Source organism: Homo sapiens, chromosome X (assembly GCF_000001405.40).
Source record: "Homo sapiens chromosome X, GRCh38.p14 Primary Assembly".
In the NCBI taxonomy this organism is placed as follows: domain Eukaryota; kingdom Metazoa; phylum Chordata; class Mammalia; order Primates; family Hominidae; genus Homo; species Homo sapiens.
The window spans coordinates 32534284-32560900 of record NC_000023.11 but is presented as its reverse complement, the minus strand read 5'-3'; the positions used below and the strand labels follow the sequence as shown (position 1 = coordinate 32560900).

Below are 26617 nucleotides of genomic sequence, written 5' to 3'. Positions count from 1 at the left end.
TATGTTAATTGCAGCACTATTCACAATAGCAAAGACATAGAATCAACCCAAATGCCCATCAATGATAGACTGGATAAAGAAAATGTGATACATATACACCATGGAATAGTATGCAGCCATAAAAAGGAATGAGAGTATGTCCTTTGCAGAGACATGGATGTAGCTGGAAGCTGTTATTCTCAGCAAACTAATGCGGGAACAGAAAACCAAACACTGCATGTTCTCACTTATAAGTAGGAGCTGAACAATGGGAACACATGGGCACAGGGAAGAGAACAACACACACTGGGGCCTGTTGCTGGGAGAGGAGGAGAGCATCAGGAAAAATAGCTAACGGATGCTGGGCTCAATATCTACCTAATGGGTCTGTAGGTGCACCATACCACCGTGGCACACATTTACCTCCATAACAAACCTACACATCCAATACGTGTACCCTGGAACTTAAAAAAATAAATGTGATAGTAAGAAATTTATTATAATTAATATTTTAAAATATAATGTATGTGATTTGAAGCATTACTTTCCTCATTTGACTGAAATCACATGTGCTGTTGAAAGGGTATATTAGTCATATGCTTTACAATTTGGTATGCTAATTGTAATTATCATATTACGCCATAAATTGTAATTACTGTATTTAATATGTAATTTATATTAAGTAGTATATACCAGGTGCTTTGGTGTAAGCATATATATATATATTTTTTTTTTCAAGCGAGTCTAAAGGTTTTGTAGTTTTGTGGATTTTTAGTAGAATAAATTGTCTTCTTTCTCAGGAATAAGGAAAGTTGTATGACTTATTAAGGTTCAAATATCTCATTCCCATTTTGTGAATATTTTGCTATATTGCTAACAACAATTTTTGCAACATTCTCAACTGTGAGCACCTCTTTAAGATAAAATACATATGCTCAGAATTTGCCTCTTCTTGTACATGGCAGTTCATGTTTATGCTGTATATGTTTGTGCCTACATTCAAGGATGCCCAAAAAGAGAAAATGATTATTATATAATTATGTGTACCTTCTATATCATCTATATCCTGATGAGAGATTTATTATGTGTGCTGCCGAAGCAAGCACCTGATGGGAGATTTAAAACTCCTATCAAATAGTAATATAAAACATAGCTGTAAATGATAAGCCAGTGCTTTTTATTATACCCAAAATGCAAATAGAAATATGCCAATGTACCAAGATGAAAATTTCTTTACATGTTCTTCTTTTCTGAGTTAATTCTCATTCTTTAAAGATCCTCTATTTTAACCCTTCATAAAATATTTTATGTTCACGTTCTGGCTGTACCCATTCTCAGAGCATCATTTTGTAGACCTCTTTGTACAAGGGGGATATAGTTGCAAATGGTTTGCCTCTCTTCTTTTTTGGCCAGTAAGTTTAATTAAAAATACTCTAAGGCTTTTTATTTAAAAGACCTTTTCATTGCTTCCTGAAAGCTCTCCACGACTAGTAAGCCTGATGCCAATTAAAAAAGAAAATAATTTTTTAAAATCTGGAATTAAAATAAAAATACCTTACTTATTTTGTGTTTCCTTCTTACTTAAGGTCATAGAATTAACTCCCTTAAATTTGAGAACATGTTTTGGGTAATTCCTCAGGTTAAAGTTTTATTAGAAAAATTTGAAGTTGACCGAGTGTGGTGGCTCACACTTGTAATCCCAGTACTTTGGGAGGACAAGGCAGGCAAATCATCTGAGGTCAGGAGTTTGAAACCAGCCTGGTCAACATGGTGAAACCCCATCTTTACTAAAAATACAAAAAAAGTAGCCAGGCATGGTGGCAGGCGCTTGTAATTGCAGCTACTTGGGAGGCTGAGGCAGGAGAATTGCTTGAACCCGGGAGGTGGAGGTTGCAGTGAGCCGAGATCATGCCACTGCACTCCAGCCGGGATGACAGAGCGAGACTTCGTCTCAAAAAAAAAAAAAAAAAAAAAAAAAAAAAAGAAAATTTGAAGTTACATCTCAAATAACTTTGGAAATTAACTGTATCATTTTGCTATCTCCAACTATAATAGGTATTTGAGAATGGGCCTTGTATATCAGTGCAATAGGTTTTACCTTGTAAATGCATTGTCTGTAACAATATAAAATGTAAGCACTAAAAAATTTAATACATTCAGTCTGAGTTAACTCTTGGAATCTCTCATTCTTTATTTATAAATTTAAAGGAAAGGTAAGCTAGGCAGATTTCTATAGTGGCCATCGAGTTCTAAATGTCTTTGATATGTTTCTCTTTGCTTTTATGTGAAACTCTGGAGTACTTAGTGAAGAAGATTCCTACTTTTGCCACTGGAAAGGCAGCTAAAAAATAATGATAATAACATCCTATCCCTATTCAAAGGAGACTTAATTATGAAATTATTACACTGTATTCACTGAGTATGTCATTAAAATACCATACAGACAAAATGCTCAGCATCTGTATGATACGCCTATTATCTCCTGACAAAAAAATGAAATAACACATAAAGACAAATACAAGTCTTTTTCCTAAGCCTATACTTGATAATATCCATCCCTAATTATAGAATGTGTTTCATTACTTCAGTGTTAGATGGTATGTAGAGGAAGGCCAGATGGATCAGAAAAATTAAATCTCATTGCTTTGCAATTTTTGCAGGTGCAGTTAATTCACACAGTTGCTCAAATTCCGTATTTAATATGAATCCAGAAGACAACATACATCTCTTCTTTCTGATACAATTTGTACTAAAGACAATTTAAAATGAGGAACAAAATACATTAAATTGGACAGACAGTTTTACAGAATAAACCTTCTTAATTATCATATAATATTTATTTCGAAGAAACAAATGACTTATGATGCCTTCTAAGTATTTGACAATAATTTTGCTCATGATTTCAATGTCAGTACTTATTCAAGAAATTTTATTACCTTACAGTAATAAATTAATTATTAATATAAATTAAATTATTATTAAATTATTGTAATAATAAATTAATTACAGTAATTAATAGTAAATTTTAGTTACCAGGCTACTGTCCTGAACTTTGGCACTCATTGTATGCTACATTCAGCTATGGGAAGTCCTCTATACTTCATAAGATAAAGCATTTTACATCCTTGTGATTAGTAACTCAGCTTCCTTTGTGACCATCTGATCTTTTGCCCAAGGATTCTCCCAAAGTTCAACATATAAATATTTTCTTTTGCTTAGAGATGCAAATCTTTACCAGATTTTTGTGCCTTGTGCTACCATGCCTGTGGAGTTGGTTTTTAAGCATGGCTATCAATTATTATCTAAAGCTGTTGCTATGATTATGCAGTATGTTTTAAACTGCAGAAGTGCAATTCCTCCATGCCCATTAAAACTTATTGATCACTCCAAAGGGTTACATATACATAGACAGACAACGCAATGAAAAGCCTTGATCCACAGTTGTCAACCTGATTGTGTGTGTGTAGTGTATTTTGACTAATTTTGCACAGATTTCAATATAGCATGTCAAGAGCCAAACATATTTAACATTGAGTAATTCTTCCTATATAATAGTTATGATGTGCCATTGTTTACAATTTCAGTATTCTGAATTTATATATGTGTGTGTATGCATACAAATACACACCCCTTAAAAGGAAACCACCATTCAAAAAAGTGTACAAGTGTAGGAGCAAGTGAGCATAGCTGATAAGAGTTGGATGAATGAACATTCAGACTTGGATTTATATCTATGCTTTGCTACTAAAAAGTTTTATCTGCCTCAACAAGGTCACTTTCATCTATAAAATAGGAATAATATTAGTACTTACTCTTAGGGCCATTGTGAGGTCATAATAGCTACCATTTATTAAAGCTTTACAACATAGCAAGGGAGTTTTTCTAGATCTTTTGAATAAGATAATCAATTCAAAACACTTATTGTAATGCCTGGATCATGCAGAAAGCTTCATAACTGGTACCTGTTATTGCAAGTATTAGTATTTGCAAAATAAAGATTTTATGCTAAATTAGTAACTAATACTTTATAGCTTGAATCTTTCTAGTAAGTATCTAAATATTCAAATACTAGAATATCTCAAAAGGCAAGAAGTTGAAATCTCTTATCCCAGCATAACAAAAAAGTTACAAAGGCAATAATATGTAAATAATTAAATGGAAAGTTAAAAGTTTCAATTAAGAATATCAGTCAAAAATAAAAGGAAAATTTATTAGCCTGTTCTTACACTGCTATAAAGACATACCTGAAACTGAGTGATTTATGAAGAAAAGAAGTTTGACTCGTTCGTGTTTGTGGCATTATAGTATTCCTTGGTGTAAATGTACCACATTTTCTTTATCTTGTCTATCATTGATGAGCATTAAGGTTGATTCCATGTCTTTGCTATTGTGTATAGTGTTGCAATGATACACATGCATGTATCTTTATAATAGAATGATTTATATTTGGGTATATACCCAGTAATGGGATTGCTGGCTTAAATGGTTTTTCTGCCTCTAAGTCTTTGAGAAATCTCCGCATTGTCTTCCACAAGGGTTGAACTAATTTACACTCCCACCAAGAGTGTAAAAGTGTTCCCTTTTCTCCACAACCTCACCAGCATCTATTGTTCTTTGACTTTTTAATAGTAACCATTCTGACTGGCGTGAGATGTTATCTCATTGTGGTTTTGATGTGCATTTCTCTCATGATCAATGATGTTGAGTTTTCTTTCATATCGTTTTAGGTCACATGTATGTCTTCTTTTGAGAAGTGTTTGTTTATGTGCTTTGCCCACTTTTTAATGAGGTTATTTGTTTTTTTCTTGTAAATTTGTTTAAGTTCCTTGTAGACTCTGGACCATTGTCAGATGGATAGATGGCAAAACTTTTCTCCCATTCTGTAGGCTGTTTATTTACTCTGACGGTAGTTTATTTTGCTGTGCAGAAGTTCTTTAGTTTAATTAGATCCCCTTTGTCAGTTTTTGCTTTTGTTGCAGTTGCTTTTGCCATTTTCCTCATGAAACCTTTGCCCATGCCTATGTCCTGAATCTTATTACCTAGGTTTTCTTCTAAGGTTTTTATTGTTTGGGGTTTTGCATTTAAGTCTTTAATCCATCTTGAGTTAATTTTTGTATAGATTGTAAGGAAGAAGTCCACTTTCAATTTTCTGCATAGGACTATCCCAGCACTATGTATTAAATAGGCAGTCCTTTCCCCATTGCTTGTTTTTTCAGGTTTGTCGAAGATCAGATGGTTGTAGGTGCGTGGTCTTATTTCTGAGTTCTCTATTCTGTTTCATTGGTCTATGTGTCTGTTCTTGTACCAGTACCCTGCTTTTCTGGTGACTGTAACCTTGTAGTATAGTTTGAAGTCTTAGCTTTTGGGCTGAGACAATGGGGGTTTTCTGGATATAGGTTCATGTCATCTGAATACAAAAATAATTTGACTTCCTCTCTTCCTATGTGAATACCCTTTATTTCTTTCTCTTCCCTGATTGCCCTGGTCAGAACTTCCAATACTATGTTGAAAAGGAGTGGTGAGAGATGGCATCCTTATCTTGGGCCAGTTTTCAGGGGGAATGCTTCTAGCTTTTGCCCATTTGGATGTGGGTTTATAATTTATGGCTCTTATTATTTTGAGGTATGTTCCTTCGATACCTAGTTTATTGAGAATTTTTAACATGAAGGGATGTTGAATTTTATTAAATACCTTTTGGTTGTCTATTGAGATAGTCATGTGGTTTTTGTCTTTAGTTCTGTTTATGTGATGAATCACATGTATTGATTTGCATGTGTTAAACTAACCTTGCATGCTAGGGATGAAGCAAACTTGATTGTGGTGGATAAGCTTTTTGATATGCTACTGGATTTGGTTTGCTGGTATTGAGAATTGTTGCATCAGTGTTCATCAATGATATTAGCCTGAAGTTTGCTTTTCTTTCTTTCTCTCTTTCTTTCTCTCTCTCTCTCTCTCTTTCTTTCTCTCTCCCTCTCTCTCTCTTTCTTTCTTTCTTTCTTTCTTTCTTTCTTTCTTTCTTTCTTTCTTTCTTTCTTTCTTTCTTCTTTCCTTCTCTCTCTCTCTCTCTCTCTCTCTCTCTCTCTCTCTCTCCCTCCCCCTCCCTCCCTCCCTCCCTCCCTCCCAGGTTTTGGCATCAGGGTGATGCTGACCTCATAATATAAGTTTGGGAGAAATCCCTTCTTTTCAATTTTTTTGGAATAGTTTCAGTGGAAATGATACCAGCTCTTCTTTGTACCGCTAGTAGAATTCAGCTATGATTCCATCTGGACCTGGGCTTTTGTTGGTTGGTGGGATATTTATTATTGCCTCAATTTCAGAACGCATTATTGATCTATTCAGCAATTCATTTCCTTTATGGTTCAGTCTTAGAGGGGAGAAATGTGTTCAATAATTTATCCATTTCCTCTAGGTTTTCTAGTTTATGTGCATAGAGGTGTTTATAGTATTCCCTGATGGTTGTTTGTATTTCTGTAGAATTATTGGTGATATTCCTCTTCAAATTTTTCATTGTGTTTATTTGATTCTTCTCTCTTTTCTTCCTTATTAGTCTAACTAGAAGTCTACCTTTTTTATTTTTATTTTTTTCCAAAAACCAGCTCCTGGATTCATTTAGTTTTTTGGAGGGTTTTTCATGTCTTTATCTCCTTCAGTTCAGCTCTGATCTTGGTTATTTCTTGTTTGTTTGCTCTTGGTTTGCTAGTTTTTTTATTTGAGATGTTAGGCTGTTAAGATCTTTCTAGCTATTTGATGTGAGCATTTAGTGCTATAAATTTCCCTCTTAACACTGCTTTAGCTGCGTCCCAGAGATTCTGATAAATTGTCTCTTTGTTCTCATTAGTTTCAAAGAACTGCAGAGGTGGCAGCTGGTCTTCCTCCCAGAAGCTCTGTCCCAGGGAGAGATCAGAGCTCTATCCATTGAATCCTGGGTGGAATGGCTGAAGCCCCCTCAGGGAGGTCCCACCCAGTGAGGAGGATGGATCAGGGTCCCACTTAAAGAAGCAGACTGGCCACGATCTGGCAAGGGTTGCCACACACTTTCAAACAAACAAATCTCATGAGAACTCTTATCAGGAGAGCAGCAAGGGGGAGGTCCACACCCATGATTCAGTCCCCTCCCACCAGGCCCTTCCTCCAACACTGAAGACAGAATTCAACATGAGGATTTGGGTGGGGACAGAGAGCCAAACCATATCATAAAATAACAGCATAAACAAAATGAATTTAAAATTAAAGAATAGCTGAATAGTTCGTAATTGCAACTACAGTCATATGCTGCATAACAACATTTCAGTCAACAATGAACCACATATATGACAGTGGTCTCATAATATTATTATACTATATTATTTTTTACTTTTATTTTTGCTTCAGAGGTACATGTGGTGGTTTGTCATATAGATAAATTGCATGTCACAGGGGTTTGTTGTACAGATTATTTCATCACCCAGGTAATAAGCATAGTACCCAATAAGTAGTTTTTTTAATCCTCACCCTCCTCTTACCCTCCAGCCTCACATAGACCACCGTGTCTGTTGTCCCCTTCTTTGAGTCCGTGTGTTCTCAATGTTTATCTCCCACTTAGAAGTGAGAAAATGTGATATTTTGTGTTATTGTGTTAGTTTGCTTAGGATAATGGCCTCCAGCTCCATCCATGTTTGCTGCAAAGAACACAATCTCTTTTTTCATGGCTGCATAGAATTCCACAGTGTATATGTACCACATTTTCCTTATCCAGTCTACCACTGATGGGCATTTAGGCTGATTCCATGTGTTTGCTATTGTGAATAATGCTTCAATAAAACATACATGTGCATGTGTCTTTAGGGTTGAGGGATTTATATTCTTCTTGGTATACCCAATAATTGTTATTGCTGGGTCGAATGGTAATTCTGGTTTTCGTTGTTTGGGAAATCACCAAACTGCTTTCCACGGTGGCTGAACTAATTTACACTAATATCAGCAGTGCAATAAACGTTCCCTTTTCTGTGCAACCTTGCCAGCATCTGTGATTTTTTGACTTCTTAATAATAGCCATTCTCACTGGTGTCAAATGGTATCTTATTGTGGTTTTGATCTGCACTTCTCTAATGATTATTGATGTTCAGCATTTTTTCATATGAATGTTTTCTGTATGTATGTCTTTTTCTGGAAAGGGTTCATGTCCTTTGCCCACTTTTTAATGGTGATGTTTGGTTTTTGCTTGTAAATTTAAGTTCCTTGTAGATTCCAGATATTAGACCCTTGTCAGATGGAAAGTTTGCAAAATTTTTCTCCCATTCTGCAGGTTGTCTGTTTACTCTGTTGATAGTTTCTTTTGTTGTGTAGAAGTTCTTTAGTTTAATTAGGTCCCAGTTTTCAATTTTTGTTTTTGTTTCAATTGTTTTTGGTGTCTTTGTTATGAAGTCTTTGCAGTTTCAATGTCCAGAGTGGCATTACCTGGGTTATCTTCTTAGGTTTTTATAGTTGTTGGTTTTAGATTTAAGTCTTTAATCCACCTCGGGTTAATTTTTGTATATGGTGTAAGGAAGGGGTCCAATGAATAGGCAGTCCTTTTCCCATTGCTTGTTTTTGTTGATTTCATTGAAGAACAGATGGTTGTAGGTGTGCAGCCTTATTTCTCGACTCTCTATTCTTTTCCATTGGTTTATGTGTCTGTTTTTTGTACCATGCTGTTTTGGTTACTATATCCTTGTAGTATAGTTTGCAGTCAGGCAATGGGATGGTTCCAGCTTTTTTCTTTTTGCTTAGGATTACCTTGGCTATTCTGGCTCTTTTAGTGGCTCCAACTGAATTTTTAAATAGTCTTTTTCTTATTCAGTGAAGAATGTTATTGGTAGTTTTTTGGGAATAGCATTGAATTAAAAAGTGCTTTAGGCATTATGGCCATTCTGTCAATATTGATTCTTCCATGAGCATAGAATATTTTTCCATTTTTTGTGTGTTATCTCTGAGTTACTTGAGCAATATTTTGTAATTCTCAGTTTAGCAGTGTTTCACCTCCTTGCTTAGCTGTATTCCTAGGTATCTTATTTCTTTTTGACAATTATGAATGGGACTGTGTTCTTCATTTGGCCTTAGCTTAAATGTTGTTGGTGTGTAGGAACACTAGTGATATTTATACATTGATTTTGGATGCTGAAACTTTGCTGAGGTTGTGTATCAGATCAATGAGCTTTTGGGCAGAGACTATGGCCAAAGTATAGAACCTCATCGTCTGCAAACAGGGATAATTTGACTTCCTCTCTTCCTATTTGGATTGCCTTTATTTCTCTTTCCTGATTGCTTTGGCTAGGATTTCTAGTACTATGTTCAATGAGATTTGTAAGAGAGGGCCCCCTTGTCTTATGCCAGTTTTCAAGCACAATGCTTCTGGCTTTTGCACATTCAGTATAATGTTGGCTGTGGACTTTTTAAAGATGGTTCTAATTACTTTGAAATATGTTCCTTCAGTGCCTAGTTTGTCGAGGATTTTTAACATGAAAGGGTGTTGAATTTTATAGGATGCCTTTTCTATATCTACTGAAATGATCATGTGGTTTTTGATTTTTTGTTCTGTTTATGTGGTGAATCACATTTATTGACTTGTGTATGTTGAATCAACCTCGCAACCCTGGGATAGAAGCTCCTTGATCATGGTGGATTAGCTTTTTGATGTGCTGCTGGATTGGGTTTGCTGGTATTCTGTTGACTATTTTTGCATCTATGTTCATTAGGGACATTGGCCTGAAGTTTTCTTTTTTGGTTGTTGTGTGTCTGCCAGGTTTTGGTATCAGGACAATGCTTCCCTCATAGAATGAGTTAGGAAGGAGCCGCTCCTCAATTTTTGGGAGTGGTTTCATAGGAATGATACCAGCTTTTCCTTCTATATCTGTTAGTATTCAGGTGTGAATCTGTCTGGTCCTGGGCTTTTTCTGGTTGGTGGGCTTTTTGTTCCTAATTTAATTTCGGAACTCATTATTGGTCTGTTCAATGATTCCATTTCTTCCTGGTTCAAACTTGGAAAGTTGTAAGTTTCTAGCAATTTATCCATTGCTTCTAGGTTTTCTAGCTTGTGTGCATAGGGGTGTTCATTATGAATAGTCTCTAAGGGTTTTCTCTATTTCTGTGGGGTCAATGGTAACATCCCCTTTGTCATTTTTTATTGTGTTTATTTGAGTCTTCTCTCTTTTTTTCTTTATTATTCTAGGTAGTGGTCTATCTTTATTATTAATTATTTCAAAGAAACAGCTCCTAGATTCATTGACCTTTTCTGTGCTTTTTTGCATCTCATTTTCCTTCAGTTCAGCTCCGATTTTGGTTATTTCCTGTCTTCTAGCTTTGGGGTTAGTTTGCTATTGTTTCTCGTTCCTTGTGATGTTCGTTTTGTAATTAGAGATCCTTCTAACTTTTTGATATGGGTGTTTCGTGCCATAAGCTTGCCTCTTAACGCTGCTTTGTGTGTGTCCCAGAGATTCTGGTATGTTACATCTTTTTAAATTTTCATTAGTTTCAAATAATTTCTTGATTTCTGCCTTAATTTTATTGTTTACCCAGAGGTCATTCAGGAGCAGTTTGTTTGATTTCCATTTTAATGTATGGTTTTGAGCAATTTGCTTAACATTGATTTCTATTTTTATTGCACTGTGGTCCAAGAGTGTTGTTGGTATAATTTTGTGGGTTTTAAAAAAATTTTCTAAAGATTGTTTTATGCCCAACTCTCTATATCATATTTTTATTGTACCTTTCGATATGTTTGGATACACAAATACTTACCATTGTGCCTACACTATTCAGTATAGTCACATGCTGTACAGGTTTGTAGCTAGGAGCAATAAGCTGTACCACATAGGTTGGCCGTATAGTAGTCTGTACCATCTAGGTTTGTGTAAGTACACTCCACGGCGTTCGTACAAGGACAAAATTGTCTAAGGATGAATTTCTCAGAATGTGTCCCAGTTGTTAAGTTATACATGACTTGTAGTGATTCCTAATAAACTGGAGACAGTGGTAGAAAAAAAGTATTTTATTTTATTGTATGTCCTTTTGTATTCTTTAAATTTGCTTTGATGTACTTATGTTTCTTTTTTTAAATGTGCATTTTTTAAACAAGTGGAAGAGAAGATGGAAAGAAAGAACTTCATTTCTTGAGCATAGTTTGTTTTTCCCAGGCCTATCAAAATAACACAATCTTACTGCAAGAAGAGGCACACCCTGGAATAATATCAGGATGCTGGCAAATGCTCTTCCAATTTTTCTCAGAATGAGAAAATGTAAATTTTAAAGTTTAAATCTTTTTAACATATGTAATCTTATGAGTAAGAAGGTTGAGTATAGAAAAATTCTTCAAATTTCCCTGAGCGTTTAGAAAAGATAGTGGTTACTGCTGATATTTACCATTATAGAGCACTTATTTTATTCAGATATTATATCATTTAATTCTCAAAACCAGGACTGGCTACATAATTTGTGGGCCCAGTGCAAACTGAAAACAAGGGCTTCCTGTTCAAGACCTAAGAATTTCAAGACAGTGGAAGCAGAGCTTGAAAACAAGCATGGAAGCCTCCTGAGCAGGGGCCCTGGGCAACTGCATAAATTACCAGCCCATGAAGCTGTCCTTGCTTGTAACACACCTGTGAAGAAATGTGTTACTCTTACTTTAAAGATGAAGAAAATAATGCATAGATTTGAGATAAGAACCAACCAGCCCCAAATGTCACAGTGTATAAACTATGGATCTGGTGTTTAATAATTGTGGAGACTGGCTCCAATGCCTCTACTTATAACCACTCTAAGAGGAATCAGCTCCCAAATGTAAAGACAAGTATTTCTAAACTATTTCCCATTTTTACTAGGGAAATTAACTTGCAGTTAAAATGAATAGTATTTTAAAAAGAAATGTATTTTCTTTTCATGATATCATTTTAGAGTCTTAAATAGACTCATAATCAAAATGAAGAAAGGTGACTGGGTAAAAGTATAGTTAGCTAGATACAAAGATTGTTGAATATAGGTCAAACTATATTCTATTCTAGTTTTGACTCTGCCATATTAAACATTTTAGTGAAGGCACTACGTTATTCTTATCATGCTTGAAGTTTTCCTCATTCTAATGCATTGAGTGACAGGAGTATGATTCCATAGATCTTAATATATAAATAGAAATGATAGATTTAAAACAAACAGTTTGGCAAAACTTTCAAAATTTTTCTTTGCTTACAAATGCAACATTTTGCAGATAATATCTTATAGAAGAACTTTGGAAACTAAAGGAATACAGAAATATACACTGTGCAACAGAAATTTTCTCTACTTTCTCTGTCAAAAATCAACCAATGTTTATGTCTAGCATTGTTTACTCAATAGTGTAAAGCAAACGTTTTCCAATGACATTAAAATATTTGAAATATAATACTCCATCCACATTCATATACCATAATGTACTTAAACCATCATCTATGACATGAGGTTGTTTCCAAAAGTTACTGTTAGAAAGACCCTATAAACAAGGATAAATATTATATCTAGCCTTCAGCATCAAATTAAATCTAAATGTTAAAATGCTAGCTGAGAGAAATCTGTTTTCATAACATTTAAAGAGAAAATTACTTGATTACTGTATGTTTGGTGTATGTAATTATTTTGCATACTGGTATTTTTCACGTGGCATTCATCTTCACAATTATTTGTGTGATTATCATCGTCCCTATTTTGCCGTAAGGTTCCTAAATATGGAGTTTCTATTTTACTCATTTCTGAATGTCCTATAGTGAATATATATTCAATAAACATTAGAATTTTATAGAAACCTTGTGGTTCAGCTGCTGAATAACTTACACAGTTTTAGAATTCTTTGATTGACTATGGTGTCCAAAGCCAAGAAACATTGGTTTTGGATGACGAATCAAGTTATATCTACTTCTAGCAAATAACTGGCATTATAGAGTTTGAAAATGATATTTATCAGGGTCATGATTATTAGATTTCAAATCTTAGAATATCAGGTAGAAATGATATTCAATTTACTCTGCTTTCATTCAGAACTCAAAACAAGTTTTAACAAGAGGAAGTCTTAATCAGGCAGGATTCCTCTGGTTGTTAAGAACATCTTTCCCAATGGGGAAAGTTTGCTTGCATGCTAAGAAAGGAGCTTTCTGTTTCAGGGAGTAGTGAGCTCTGTAATAATCAGGAGGTCATGTTAAATGGCCTTCGTAGTCCCTCTCCTGTCTATATTTCCTAATGATTCTAACACATAATTAAGTGTCAATAATAGTTATAGTCAATAACTATAAGCCATAAGGAAATTTAGTACATGACTGATTGTTTTTTATTCTGATTGTATGAAGTAGGTTTTGAGAGTGATTATTAATTTGTTATATGTAATGAGTTCTACCCTATATTTACAGGGTGAATGCACAGTTTTCTTATTTCTCCATCCCGAAGGAAATGAAGTAGTATTTTTCAATTACAGTGTAGTAGTGATTATTATATAGAACAATTACAGACTCATGTCTTACTACTCTTTTATTAAAAATGATTCATTTTTCTTTCTTAAAAGGTTGAGTATATTTTTAAATGCCGCTTCACAGTATATCATGTTGTCATTTCCCTTTACCCTCCATGGGCACATGTATCCAATTTTATAAGTAGATACCACGAAAATATTAATATTACAGAAATTAATTTAAGAGTCAAATTTTTAGTAGCACAAATGTTCTATGAGATTGGATATAACTGCATGAATTAGCTTGGTATTTTCAGAATCTCTGCATTCTGGTCTGTATGTTTAAAATTAGGTATTTTCTTAATCTGCAAAATATTATCTTCTAGCCTCCACTGTATGCAAAGAAAGTGTGCTCATGGTTAAAAAAATATTCAAATAAAAAAATAAATTATCTTGGGATCCTACTAAAAACTGCATTTTCTTTGCAAAGCAAGTTTTCTCATGGTTAAAAAATATTCAAATTACAAAGTAAATGCTCTTGGAATCCTACTAAAAACTACATTTTCTTTTTGACTAGAAATAAAACTAATTTTATCACGTAATGGTCATTTTGTGTTGGGTGCAATGTTTGAGTTTATATTTTAAGCTTTTTTTAGAGCTATGTTGCTTTCTGCTTTCATCTTGACATAACTTGTCAACAGACTTATAATTAAAGTTGTTTGAGGTTCAGTGATTCATTCTAAATAATGAATCTATGGAGATCCTAGAGAAGATAAAACCTGTGCTTGGCAAATGTAGAAACTGTAATTCTTAGTATCCTTTTAGCCTACCAAAATGGAAATCCTTCAGTCCCTCACATAGGTAAAGATATGTCTTTAACAAAAGGTAGCCTTTTTAAGCTATGTATGTCAAAGCAATTTTTACTTAAGACATCATGGAAAAGATTTTATTCCTTCACTGTTCATTGCCAATTTGGAAGCTGAAATAAGAAGATCCTGAGGCTTTTCCCATTTCCTCACATGAAAGGAATCAGTCCTCGTGTATGAGGCAGGGAGATTACTACAAACCCTTCCCTTACCTCTTGGCAAATTCAGGAAAATTGCTAAAATGAATCTTGACCCAGCCAGATCCCTGCTCCTTTGCTTGTAACCAGAGGCAGTTTCAATGCAGGCCTCTTGTGACTTCCTTGGAAACAGACCTTGCATATAAGTTGGATTGCCAGAAGGATAATGATTACCATCCCAAGAGGTAACGTTACAATCGTCATGAGAGGAGCTCTGTGAGACGGAGAATATGATAAGGAATGATTGTCTCACCATTATATGACTTGTCTATCTCGTAATGCCCATGTATTGAGGTGATGGCCTCTCATGTCTTGGCTCACAAAATGTATTATTCCAAAGATGGATGAACTGTTGCCCCCGGCCCGCTGCCAAAAGTATGAACAGGAGGTAATTGAGATTCTAAACCAAGAAGTGTCTCCAGTGATGAATATGGGAACTCAAATATTTGAACATAATCACTAATTTAAATCAAACAAGAGTAGTGTGTTTTTTAGCATTTGAATAACATTCAACATAAAGATATATATGGACTAATACATACTTTATGTTAACCTTTTATTGTAATTTTAAAAGCTGTTTCACTTATTTGATTAAAGAGTCGTTCATTACCAAGTTGAAATAATTTTATTTAAAAATGTATAACATAAAATAATCAATGTGTATGATAACCAAAAATGCATTCTACAAACTATTAATAAGCATTTAAAATGTTCTAGGCAATGGAATTGGTACTGATGTACGTTAGTAACATTCATATTAATGTAAACATTTTAAACAGCATGTAGAATTAACTATCAGAATGAATTATACTCTACATTTTTCTCCTCTGCCCCCACCCCTTATTTCCTACAGTTTGACCAATATATTGAAGGGGCGCTAAATTGACTTTCGATGTTGAGATTACTTTCCCTTGCTATTTCAGTGAACCAAACTTAAGTCAGATAAAACAATTTTATTTGGCTTCAATATGGTGCTATTTTGATCTGAAGGTCAATCTACCAACAAGCAAGAACAGTTTCTCATTATTTTCCTTTGCCACTCCAAGCAGTCTTTACTGAAGTCTTTCTAGCAATGTCTGACCTCTGTTTCAATACTTCTCACAGATTTCACAGGCTGTCACCACCACTCAGCCATCACTAACACAGACAACTGTAATGGAAACAGTAACTACGGTGACCACAAGGGAACAGATCCTGGTAAAGCATGCTCAAGAGGAACTTCCACCACCACCTCCCCAAAAGAAGAGGCAGATTACTGTGGATTCTGAAATTAGGAAAAGGTGAGAGCATCTTAAGCTTTTATCTGCAAATGAAGTGGAGAAAACTCATTTACAGCAGTTTTGTTGGTGGTGTTTTCACTTCAGCAATATTTCCAGAATCCTCGGGTACCTGTAATGTCAGTTAATGTAGTGAGAAAAATTATGAAGTACATTTTAAAACTTTCACAAGAAATCACTATCGCAACAGAAAGTAAATGCTTAATGGAAATGGTGTTTTCTGGGGTGAAAGAAGAAACTATAGAAACTATAGGTGATAAACTACTGTGGTAGCATTTTAATCCTAAAAGTTTCTTTCTTTCTTTTTTTTTTTTCTTCCTTATAAAGGGCCTGCTTGTTGAGTCCCTAGTTTTGCATTAAATGTCTTTTTTTTCCAGTAACGGAAAGTGCATTTTCATGAAGAAGTACACCTATAATAGATGGGATCCATCCTGGTAGTTTACGAGAACATGATGTCTCAGTCTGCGCATCCTAAATCAGGAGTAATTACAGAACACATTTCCTGTTCTTTGATATTTATAAAGTCTTATCTTGAAGGTGTTAGAATTTTTAACTGATCTTTTTGTGACTATTCAGAATTATGCATTTTAGATAAGTTAGGTATTATGTAAATCAGTGGATATATTAAAATGATGGCAATAAAATTTTATGAGTGCAAAGCTGGCATAAAAATTATTTTAAAAGGTACAATTTCCCTTTCATTCCAGTTATTGTAATTCTAAGATTAAGAAAGAACGTTAAAATCTGCCGTATGTTTTTAAGCAGCATATGTTTAGAAACTCATGGAACACTTGACATTAGAATTTGTGTATACCAGGGTAGAGAAGTTTGAAAAGAACACACATCTAAAAATACCATGTCAGATGTTCTAAGAAAAAAAATAAATCTAGAGAAGTTATTCAAATATATTATTTGGGATGTTTAGTACTTCTCTATTAACTAATGACTTATGACCTACTTTGATAATTCCAAAGTAAATCACTGGGCCTTTTCTCCCTGGTTGTGTCAGCTTGGCTAAGCAAATCCACTAGTCCAGGGGTCACCAAACTAAGACCTGCTAACCAAATTTAGCATGCTGCCAGTTTGGTATGGCTCATCAGCCAAGAAGTGTTTTTACGTTTTCAAATGGTTGAAAATAATCAAAAGAAAAATAATATTTTATGACATGTCAAAATTACATAAAATTCAAATTTCAGTGTTATAAATAATGTTTTAGTGGAACACAGCCAAACTCATTTATTTATCACTTATGATTACTTTCGCATTACAACGGCAGAGTTTGAATAGTTGTAACACAAACTGTATAGTCCACAAAGCCTAAAATATTTATTACCTATCCTATCACAGAAAAAGTTTGGCGACCCTTGCTCCAGTCAAATGGCTCTCAAACTCTATGAATATTAGCATTCTTTTTGTGGCAACAACTTTCAGGAACTTCCAAGCACTCTACTCACGATGGTAATAGAAAATCTAACAAAAATTGATGGAGTGAAAAGCATAATGGCACAAATCCGTGAAGCTTTTGATGAATTTCTTTTATTATTCCTAGTAAGATGTACATTAACTTGTTTGTTGTCACATTAAACATGTGTTTATAGACAACGCTTAGTGGACATACAGATTTATGGATACTTTGCAACATTCCAACAACCCTCCAACAGTTCTCCAAACAGAGTAATAGGGACACCTAGTTGCCTAACACTTTTAATGTCTTCAGGACTTGCCTAATACAGAAATTAACAGAGCAAGCTGATTCATGTCAATCTCTGTCTTCAAAAGCTTATTATTGGCTCCTGTTTGGAGAATGGATTGTGTTGGAAAAAAAAAAAAAGTGTGTTCTGACTTCTTTTTGTTTTCAGGAAAGAGTGGCTAGTGGTGAAATACCTTCTCTCCAAAATTTGTTTGTATCATAAGTTTTCGGCAATTTTTGTATGTGCCTAAATGAGAAGTCCCATTGGGCACATACAGAAAGATTCTTCAAATAAAAGCTAACATAAATTGAGGATTTATTATGTGCTCAGTAGTAGATTCAGTGCTTTATTGGCATCGCATGTATTTTTCCCAGTAACCTCCCAAAATAGGTATGGCTATAATTACTTTATAAAATTATACACAGCTACAGTGTACCTCAGACAGGATTTGAACTGAGGTAGCTACAAAACCTGGGCTGTATAGTAAAATGTCTTTTTCATAGATATATGACTAAGGTAATCCTATTGATTTACCTGAAGCCATCCCAGTTACACCTGTTGTCCCAGCATAATTATATATAGCATCAACTTTCACTCTCAAGTGTGTCCTGATTTGGACGGCAAAATTATCTGAACACGCTATATACGACACTTGATTGATAAATTTAGACTGAACGAAGATAGCAAAAAGGCAAACATTTAGGAACAAATTCATTAATTGATAATTGTCTACAGGGTGGAATCTTGTTAAAGTATTGTAATGATTAAAGAGGCATCATGCAAATATAACCATAAGCTTTATATTAGCTAGTGCCCCGTTTTTGTATCATCTGAAGCCCACTAATATTTCACTGAATATTGAGGTCTTGACCATCTGTTGAATAGTGTTTTATTTAAATGATGTCCTCTTCCAGCTTCTGTGACACACTACCAGTTGTCACCCACGACTCTTTACCTGACTTGTTTTATTCCTTCTGCCTTATTCCTATGGGAGTATCACACAGATCCATCTCTTTGCCTTTCTGACTTCTTTTATTTTGAGACAGTGTCTTGCTCTGTCACCCAGGCTGGAGTGCAGTGGCGGGATCTCAGCTTACTGCAACCTCCGCCTCCTGGTTTCAAGCAATTCTCTGCCTCAACCTCCCGAGTAGCTGGAATTACAGGCACCCTCCACCACATCCGGCTAATTTTTTTTGTATTTTTTAGTAGAGACAGGGTTTCACCATCTTGGCCAGGCTGGTCTTGAGCTCCTGACCTCGTGATCCACCCACTTCAGCCTCCCAAAGTGCTGGGATTACAGGCATGAGCCACCATGCCCGGCCTTTTGACTTCTTTATCTGGATTATCTCCTCTCATTGATTCGAGCCTGGCTCTAAGTGACTGACTCCCAAATCATGTAGCTCCAGATGTGACACTCTCCCTCAAATTAAAGCTTTATATCTCTAAAGCTATTTCCGCTTGTGCATCCAGCAACTGCCTCAATGTTCATCAAATGCAAACATTTGTTCCTTCCAATTAACCATACCTACTTATACATTGCACACATATTTTAGTTATAATTCATTGCCTGTGTGTCTAGAGAAGTAGCAAATATGGAAAAAATCATTGCTTTTGGAATCAGAATTACTGAGGTTTGAATGCTGCCCTTTTTTTTTTTCCCAACTTTTAGTTTAGGTTCAAGGGGTTAACGTGTAGGTTTGTTACATGGGTAAATTGCGTGTTGTGGCTGTTTGGTGTACAGATAATTTTGTCTCTCAGGTAATCAGCATAATATCTGATAGGTAGTTTTCCCATCCTCACCTGCCTCCCACCTTCCACTCTCAAATAGGCCCCAGTGTCTATTATTCCCTTCTTTGTGTCCATGTGTACTCAGTGTTTATCTCTCACTTATAGGTAAGAACCTGTGGTATTTGTGAAACCTGCCTGTTTTAATTACTAGCTTATGAGCGCAGGCAAATTACTTGTTATCTGTGCCTCAGATTCCAGTATTCTCACTTTATAAAACAACTGTCATGAGGATTAAATAAGCATTTAATACATTGCCTTTAAGGTGGTAAACATTCAATAAATGCAGTGGTTCGATTCTTATTTGGTGGTGGAGACCATAGAGATGATGAAGATGGAGGAAGATTGTGGTGGGTAGGAGGAGTAGAAGTGATGGTGGGAGAGGTAACGATAGTAGAGATGATGATGATGGTGGTGGAGGTAGTGATGGAGATGGTAGTCATCTATTATCGACAGGGAAAAATTCCATAATAAACATTATCTCAAACCTAAGAAATGTAAAATTACCTTCCTGTTTTCCTCTTCAAAACAGAATTTACCACCTGACATCTCTAGTTCTGTGAATTTTTCTTCTACTTTCTTTTCCTTATTTATTATAATTAGATTGTATTATTGGGCAAGTGCCATCATTTCCGTCATTTCATGTTCATTCGAATTGCCAAGTCCATAACCTGAGCCATATACCTCACTGTGGAGAGAACTGCCCTCCTTTCTAATTGATTTACTAAAATGAATATATCTAAAATGATGCTTTTTGATGTCTCTCCAGACATGCGAATTCCCATAAATCCAGATACCTCCAAAATAAAACCCAAGTGCTTCCTATGGCATTCAGTATTATTCTCATTCTCCACTAATTTTATGTCTACCTTCCCAATAATCATTATTCCACTTCAGCCAGTAAATTACATTACATTCGTTTTGTTGTATGCCTTCATGCCACTCACATAAAATTTCTCATTGCCCGTCAAAACAAAGGAAGCCTATTATTACACTTCTTTATGTTTTACTTAGATTCCATTGTAGCAAATACCGTGGATACAATAAGTAACCAATAAATGTTTGTTGAGAGAGTGAATGGTATATAATTCAAATAATTGCAGTAACTAAAATTTGACATTTCAATATCATTTAAAAATTCTACCTAGCTCTTCCTGGAATTGTTCTTAATAATAAACGTGACCATCCTGATGATCTTTAATAATTCCAATTTTACCCATTAGGGTATCCTTATTTACCCAAAACAATTAAGGGATTTAAAATTCAGCTTTCTACCACATAGTTTCTTAACTATCTAAGGTACATTTAGTCGATTCCTAAATAATTATACAGTTTCTACATATGTTGTATTTATTGCATAAATTTTTCTCTTTACACTGAGATTTGCAAAAGTGTCTGATGATCTTGGGTCACAAGATAATTATTTCTAATAGCAAATTATTCCTGCAATTCAGTGATATTATTGTACACGTAGGTAATTATCAGAGTAAGGAACTCAGCCTAGGGTAAAACTAGATCTATTATCTAGTTAATTGGTATTTATCCAGGAGATTACTTCCTAATCATGTAGCAGTTATTTTAAGGGATTTTTAAAAAAAGCTTTAATTTATACTTTTGTAGCAACCAGGCAGAATGAATGGCAAATTGTTTTTAAGTGAATGCCATCTTAATAAAGATAATTTCCCCCAAGTAAAGCGTTCATAAATGAATATCTTTGTCCTCAAGGATAATGTAGAGGCATTTTGAAATGCCTCAGTTCACCTGGTCTGTTTTTTCCCTCCAGGGTAAGCAGACAGAATGTAAGCTTGCTTTCTCGGCTATTTCCTGCATCCTAACTACATAGGAGGATAAATTGACTGATCTACATACCTGAATTATTATTATATATTCTACTTTTCAGTTTGTTTCTGTTTTTTGTTTGTTTGATTTTCTTTTTATGGCTGCTGTCCAGATGAAGTTAAATTGTGTCACATCTCTGGAAAGAAAATAGATAACAGATAAGACCGCTCTGCAGTTTTGTGAGACTCATGCCTAAAACATTTTTGTTTTAGATATTGATTATAACTTCAGTTTCTAAACTAAAATCTGAAAGTTGTATGGCAAAATATACCAAGTTATTTGAAGGACCTAATTAGATAATTAATGTGTCCGTGAACTTTTTTTTTTTAATGTTCTATATGATAAATTGATCCTAAAATATCTGGGATGTTAAACTCAGTAATGACACTTTTGCCTATTGGCACAGCCCATAGAAACAAAACATTTTAGATGATTTGCTTCTTTTTTTCCTAAGGAGACTAGACTTATGCATGTTTACAGGTTAATTGAGGTCCAGAAAGGTTAAATAACTTGCTTTCAGTTGCAAAATAAGGACTGGTGCTGACTCTCCTAAATCCATTCTAGTGTTATAGTTGCAATGTCATGTTACTTTTTATGTATTAAAGGAAAATGACCTTGGTCATAAATTCAAATTTCGCTTTAGACACTATTTTTTGTTAAAAAAAAAAAAAAAAGAAATAGAAATCTTGCATACCATCTTCACATCCTCAAAAAGATAACCATCTATTAAATGTTCTTGAGATTATGTTGTCTTATGCATCAAGAATAAATCAATAGCAGTGTTTTGAAGAATATAGTAATGTGAATTCTAGAGAATGCTATGGGATCAGAGAATACTTAGAACAGTAATATTCAAACTGCAGTGCATGAAACAGTATCATCACCTGGGACCTTCTTTGAAATGCAGATTTGGAGGGCCCTTCCCAAACCTGCTGAATCAGAAACACTGCTGGTGGGCCCAAAAATATTTTACAAGCACTCTCGGTGATACTTATACACCATAAAATTTGAGAACCCTCGCACTGGCATGACAACAGTGGTTCTCATGCTTCAGCATGCGTCGGAGTCACCAGAGTTTCTAATTCTAATAGGCGTGGAGTGGTGCCCAAGAATTTTAATTTCTAACAAGGTCCCACGTGATTCTGCTGCTACTGATTTAGGGCCCACACTTTGGAAATCAGTTCACTGGAGTGTCTTGTCATTTACAGTCTGACCCCTGATTCTCTTTCCTTATGACAGCCCCCATAAAGGGGCTTTCACGTATGTCCGTGTGAAGAGACCACCAAACAGGCTTTGTGTGAGCAACAAGGCTGTCTATTTCACCTGGGTGCAGGCAGGCTGAGTCTGAAAAGAGAGTCACGGAAGGGAGATAGGGGTGGGGCCGTTTTATAGGATTTGGGTGGGTAGTGGAAAATTACAGTCAAAGGGGATTTTTCTCTTGTGGGCAGGGGCGGGGGTCACAAGGTGCTCAGTGGGGGAGGTTTTGAGCCAGGAGAAGGAATTTCACAAGGTTAATCGCTCGGTTAAGGTGGGGCAAAAACAAATCACAATGGTGGAATGTCATCAGTTAAGGCAGCAACCGGGCATTTTCACTTCTTTTGTGATTCTTCAGTTGCTTCAGGCCATCTGGACGTAAAGGTGCAGGTCATAGGGGAAAGGATGGCTTAGCTTGGGCTCAGAGGCCTGACAGGGGCCATCTATTCCTGGGCAGGTTAAGGGATGCTACTGTTGCATCTTGTGACACCTTACTGCTTTATGATGAAATGATCTATCCATATGCTTGTTTCATCCACTAGAATTAAAGCTTCCCTGGGCCAGGATCCATTTCTTGTTCGTTACCTGTGTGATGTCTTCTGTGTAGTAGATGCTCAATTCAAGCTGTGAATAGAAATGCACTATATTGAGAACTGGTCCTATGAGATACTATATCTTTGGATGTCTGGCTACAGTAGCTATGTGAAAATGTATTCTTCCAGAATGCAAGGCGTAAAAGAATATCAACACGAAAGAAGACAGGATCACATTCCCAGAGCTGTTACATATAATTTTGTTCGTTTTTTGAGTGAAGAAAATGGTACTCATACTTATTCATCTAAAAGGAGAAGCATAGTTGAGTGCAAATAAAAGTCAGTTTTTAATCAGAAGACCTGAACTATCTGTATTCCCTTACGGACTCCTGATTCTTTCCTTTACCCTCTCATACTCTACATCGAGCACTGAAACTGCTCTCAGCAAGGTCGCCAGAGAGCTCCTTAATTGCCAGCTCCAAAGGTCACTCTTCAGTTCTTTTCCCTTTTTGACCTTTGTCTTGTGCTTGACAGAAATGATTAGTCCCTTCTTGAAATTTTTCTCTCCTGCAGTTTCTGGGACATTGTTCTCTCCTGTTTTCTTTCAGAGTATATCTTCCCTGTCTTCTATTCCTGCCCTTTAATGTCAGTCTACATAAGACTCAAATTGTGATTTTATTTTCTTCTTATGATGCTTTATTTTTTGGGGAAATATCATTTATAATCTTTATCATCACCTATATTTTTGATTCACAAATTGATATTTCTACCTCTCCCTCTCTCCTGATGTTCATCCCTGTATAATTCAAATGCTTATAGGCTATGTATTCCTGGATTTCTGACTGGAATCTAAAATATAGTTTTGGAGTTTAGATCGTATAACTCTAGAGAGGGTCATTCACATCATAGTCTCTAAGAATGGTACATCCTGAACTTGTGCAGTGAGCAACCTGTGCAGCCATTCACAGTGGTCTTGATATCTGCCACATCACTAAATCCCTCCAAATGTACCTGTTAAATTCTCTTTAGTTTGTTATTTTTTTCTACATCCTTGCTGCCTTCACTCTAGTTAAAACTGAAATTTTTCTGTATGAAATTTTTAACTGATTTCTCTGCCTCTGATCTCACCTCTCTTATCCATGCTTTTTACAGCCTCCCGAGGGATATCTTAAAATGCAGTTTTAATTAGATTATTCCCCTGCCCATAAATCTTGAAATGCATGGCGTAGAAATTCTTTTGTGATCTTTAGCTGCCTACCTCTCCAGCTTCACTCCCTTCTCCTCTGCTCCTTTTTTAAAAAAAATACCAGTGCTACTCCAAATAATCTGCAAACTTTTTAGTACCAGTCCACAATTGAGATAAGAAGCTTGAGCCAGAATATAAATCAATGTACTCCTTCCTTTGTCAAGAAAGTTCGGCAATTAAAAGCAAAATAAGATCAAATCGTTTGTTCAGTGACTCAGTTGATTTATACTCTGGTGAAAACTCTTTTCTTCTTACAGACTAATAGCAAACAGTTCACTGTCTGCTAAAGTCTGAACTTTGTTCCGCACTGCCCTATGCTTTAGCTTAAATTAACCACTCTTTGATCTCCAAATGCTCTGTGCTTTCTTAAGCTTCTGTTTCTTTGTACCTACTGTTTTCTCTGCCTAAGATTCTCTTTAGATACCTTTCTTTTTCCCATTCCCATGTTACCTGCCACCGTGCTACTAACCACCTTGTCTTTCTGGTTATCTAACCTTGCAGAGGCAGTTCTCAGCCATTTGTGTGTTTTTTTTTTTTTTTTTTTTTTTTGGAGACGGAGTCTCACTCTGTTGCCAGTCTGGAGTGCAGTGGCGCGATCTCAGCTTACTGCATCCTCTGCCCCGTGGGTTCAAGCGATTGTCCTGCCTCAGCCTCCCAAGTAGCTGGCACTACAGGCAAGGGCCACCATGCCCAGCTAATTTTTGTATTTTTAGTAGAGATGGGGTTTCACCGTGTTGGCTAGGATGGGCTTGATCTGTTGACCTCATGATCCGACTGCTAAGGCCTCCCAAAGTACTGGGATTAGAGGCATGAGCCACAGTGCCAGGCCACTTCTCAGCCTTTTTAACACTTCTATTAAAACACTTGCCAAATTGTATGGTAATGACTTTATTTTTGCATGCCTGTATCTCCAGTAAACGCCTTGAGGGAAGAAATCATTTCTTGTCATCTGTACACCTATAATGCATAAAGCAGAAGTCAGCTCATAGTAGGTATTGAATAAATATTTATTGGATGTTGATGAGGGATTTTCCAGGTTTTGTGCGAGTCTTGTCAGAAAAACAAAATCACTGTGATTTAAAGAGAGGAAACGTAATATAAGGAATTGGCTAAGCAGGTAGTAGAAAACTGAGACGCAGCGCAGGGGATGGAGAGGCAACTCAAAGCACTAGTAACGTAAGGAAGCTGCTAATATCCCTAGAGCTGGAGAAACAATACAGAAAAAGTGATATTACCAGAGCTCAGAAGCTGGGGCTTTCTAACAGAGATTAAACTAAAGTTAGGACTGCCAGGCAGAAAATTGGATTGTTGAAGAGGGAGCTAGCTATCCAGAGAAAACAGAAGCCACAGCAGAGATACATCTGCTCTAGAAATGCCACCCAAGGTAGTTGGAGAAGAAAAAAGACCTTGGCTTTTCTCTTCCTCCCACCTTCCAATATTCTGCCATTGCCTCCAAATGAACAATTAGGAGGGCAAGTGGTGTTGGGAAATGTATATCCCTCTAATACAGAAAGTACAGAAGAAATGTGGGGAATAGATCTGAGAGCAGATGGGCATATTACTGCACAGATGGGTTCTGGCCGTGCATCTTCTGCTCATAAACTATGTGACTTAAGCCACTTAATCTCCCCAAGAATCTATTTCGTCACCCCTGAAATGGAATGTATATGGCCTTCCCTGTTTGCCCTCACACTGTGGAAATTATATTACATGTGTTTGTCTTGAAGAACGTTTACATTTAAAAAACAATGTCTCCTTTCCCCAGGAGAAAGTTGAGTTTCCAATTATTAATTCAGGGATGGTATCTTCCCATGACCACATTTATATATTATTCTTATTCTGACATCTTCTGAGAGTATTCTTAGTAAAGTCTTCCCTGGTCAGAAACCTGTCTCTTTACAAATGAACACATATTATGCTACCACAGAGATATAAAAATGATGCCAGGCTGGGATGGCCTGAATTGTGTCCTCCCTAAATTCTTATATTGAAGCTCTAATCTCCAATGTGATGGAATTTGGAAATGGAGACTTTGGAAGATAATTTGATTTAGATGAGGTCATGAAGATAGGGCTCTTCTGAGGAGATTAGGGCCCTTATAAGAAGACACAACAAAGAGCTTGCTGGCTCTTTCTCCCTGCCTTGGGAGGACACAGCAAGAAGGAGGTTGTCTTAGGCTGTTCTTGCACTGTTATAAAGAAATACCTGCAACTGAGTGACTTACATGAAAATTGATTTAACTGGCTCACGGTTCTGCAAGCTGTAGAGGAAGCATGGTGGCGTCTGCTTCTGGGGAGGTCTCAGGAAGCTTTCAATCATGATGGAAGGCAAAGGGGAAACAGTCACATCACATGGAAGAATGGGACAAGGAGAGTGAGACAGTGCAGGGGGAGGTGGCACACATTTGTAAGTGAGTTCTCTCAGGAGAACTCACTATCGCAAAGACAGCACTAAGCCGTGAGGGATCCGCTCCCATGATCCAAACACCTGCCACCAGGCCCCATTTCCAGCACTGGAGTTTACAATTCAG

At 36.0% G+C, this 26617-nt stretch overlaps 1 protein-coding gene across 17 annotated transcripts in view; it reads left to right on the top strand.

Moving 5' to 3' along the window:
* The window catches only part of DMD (dystrophin), a 2220167-nt gene that overhangs the window by 778488 nt on the left and 1415062 nt on the right, over positions 1–26617 (top strand). For all 17 annotated transcript variants that reach the window (XM_006724469.4, NM_000109.4, XM_011545467.2 and 14 more), the window contains 1 exon segment: positions 15567–15742. In XM_006724469.4, the coding sequence (XP_006724532.1) occupies positions 15567–15742 (176 nt within the window).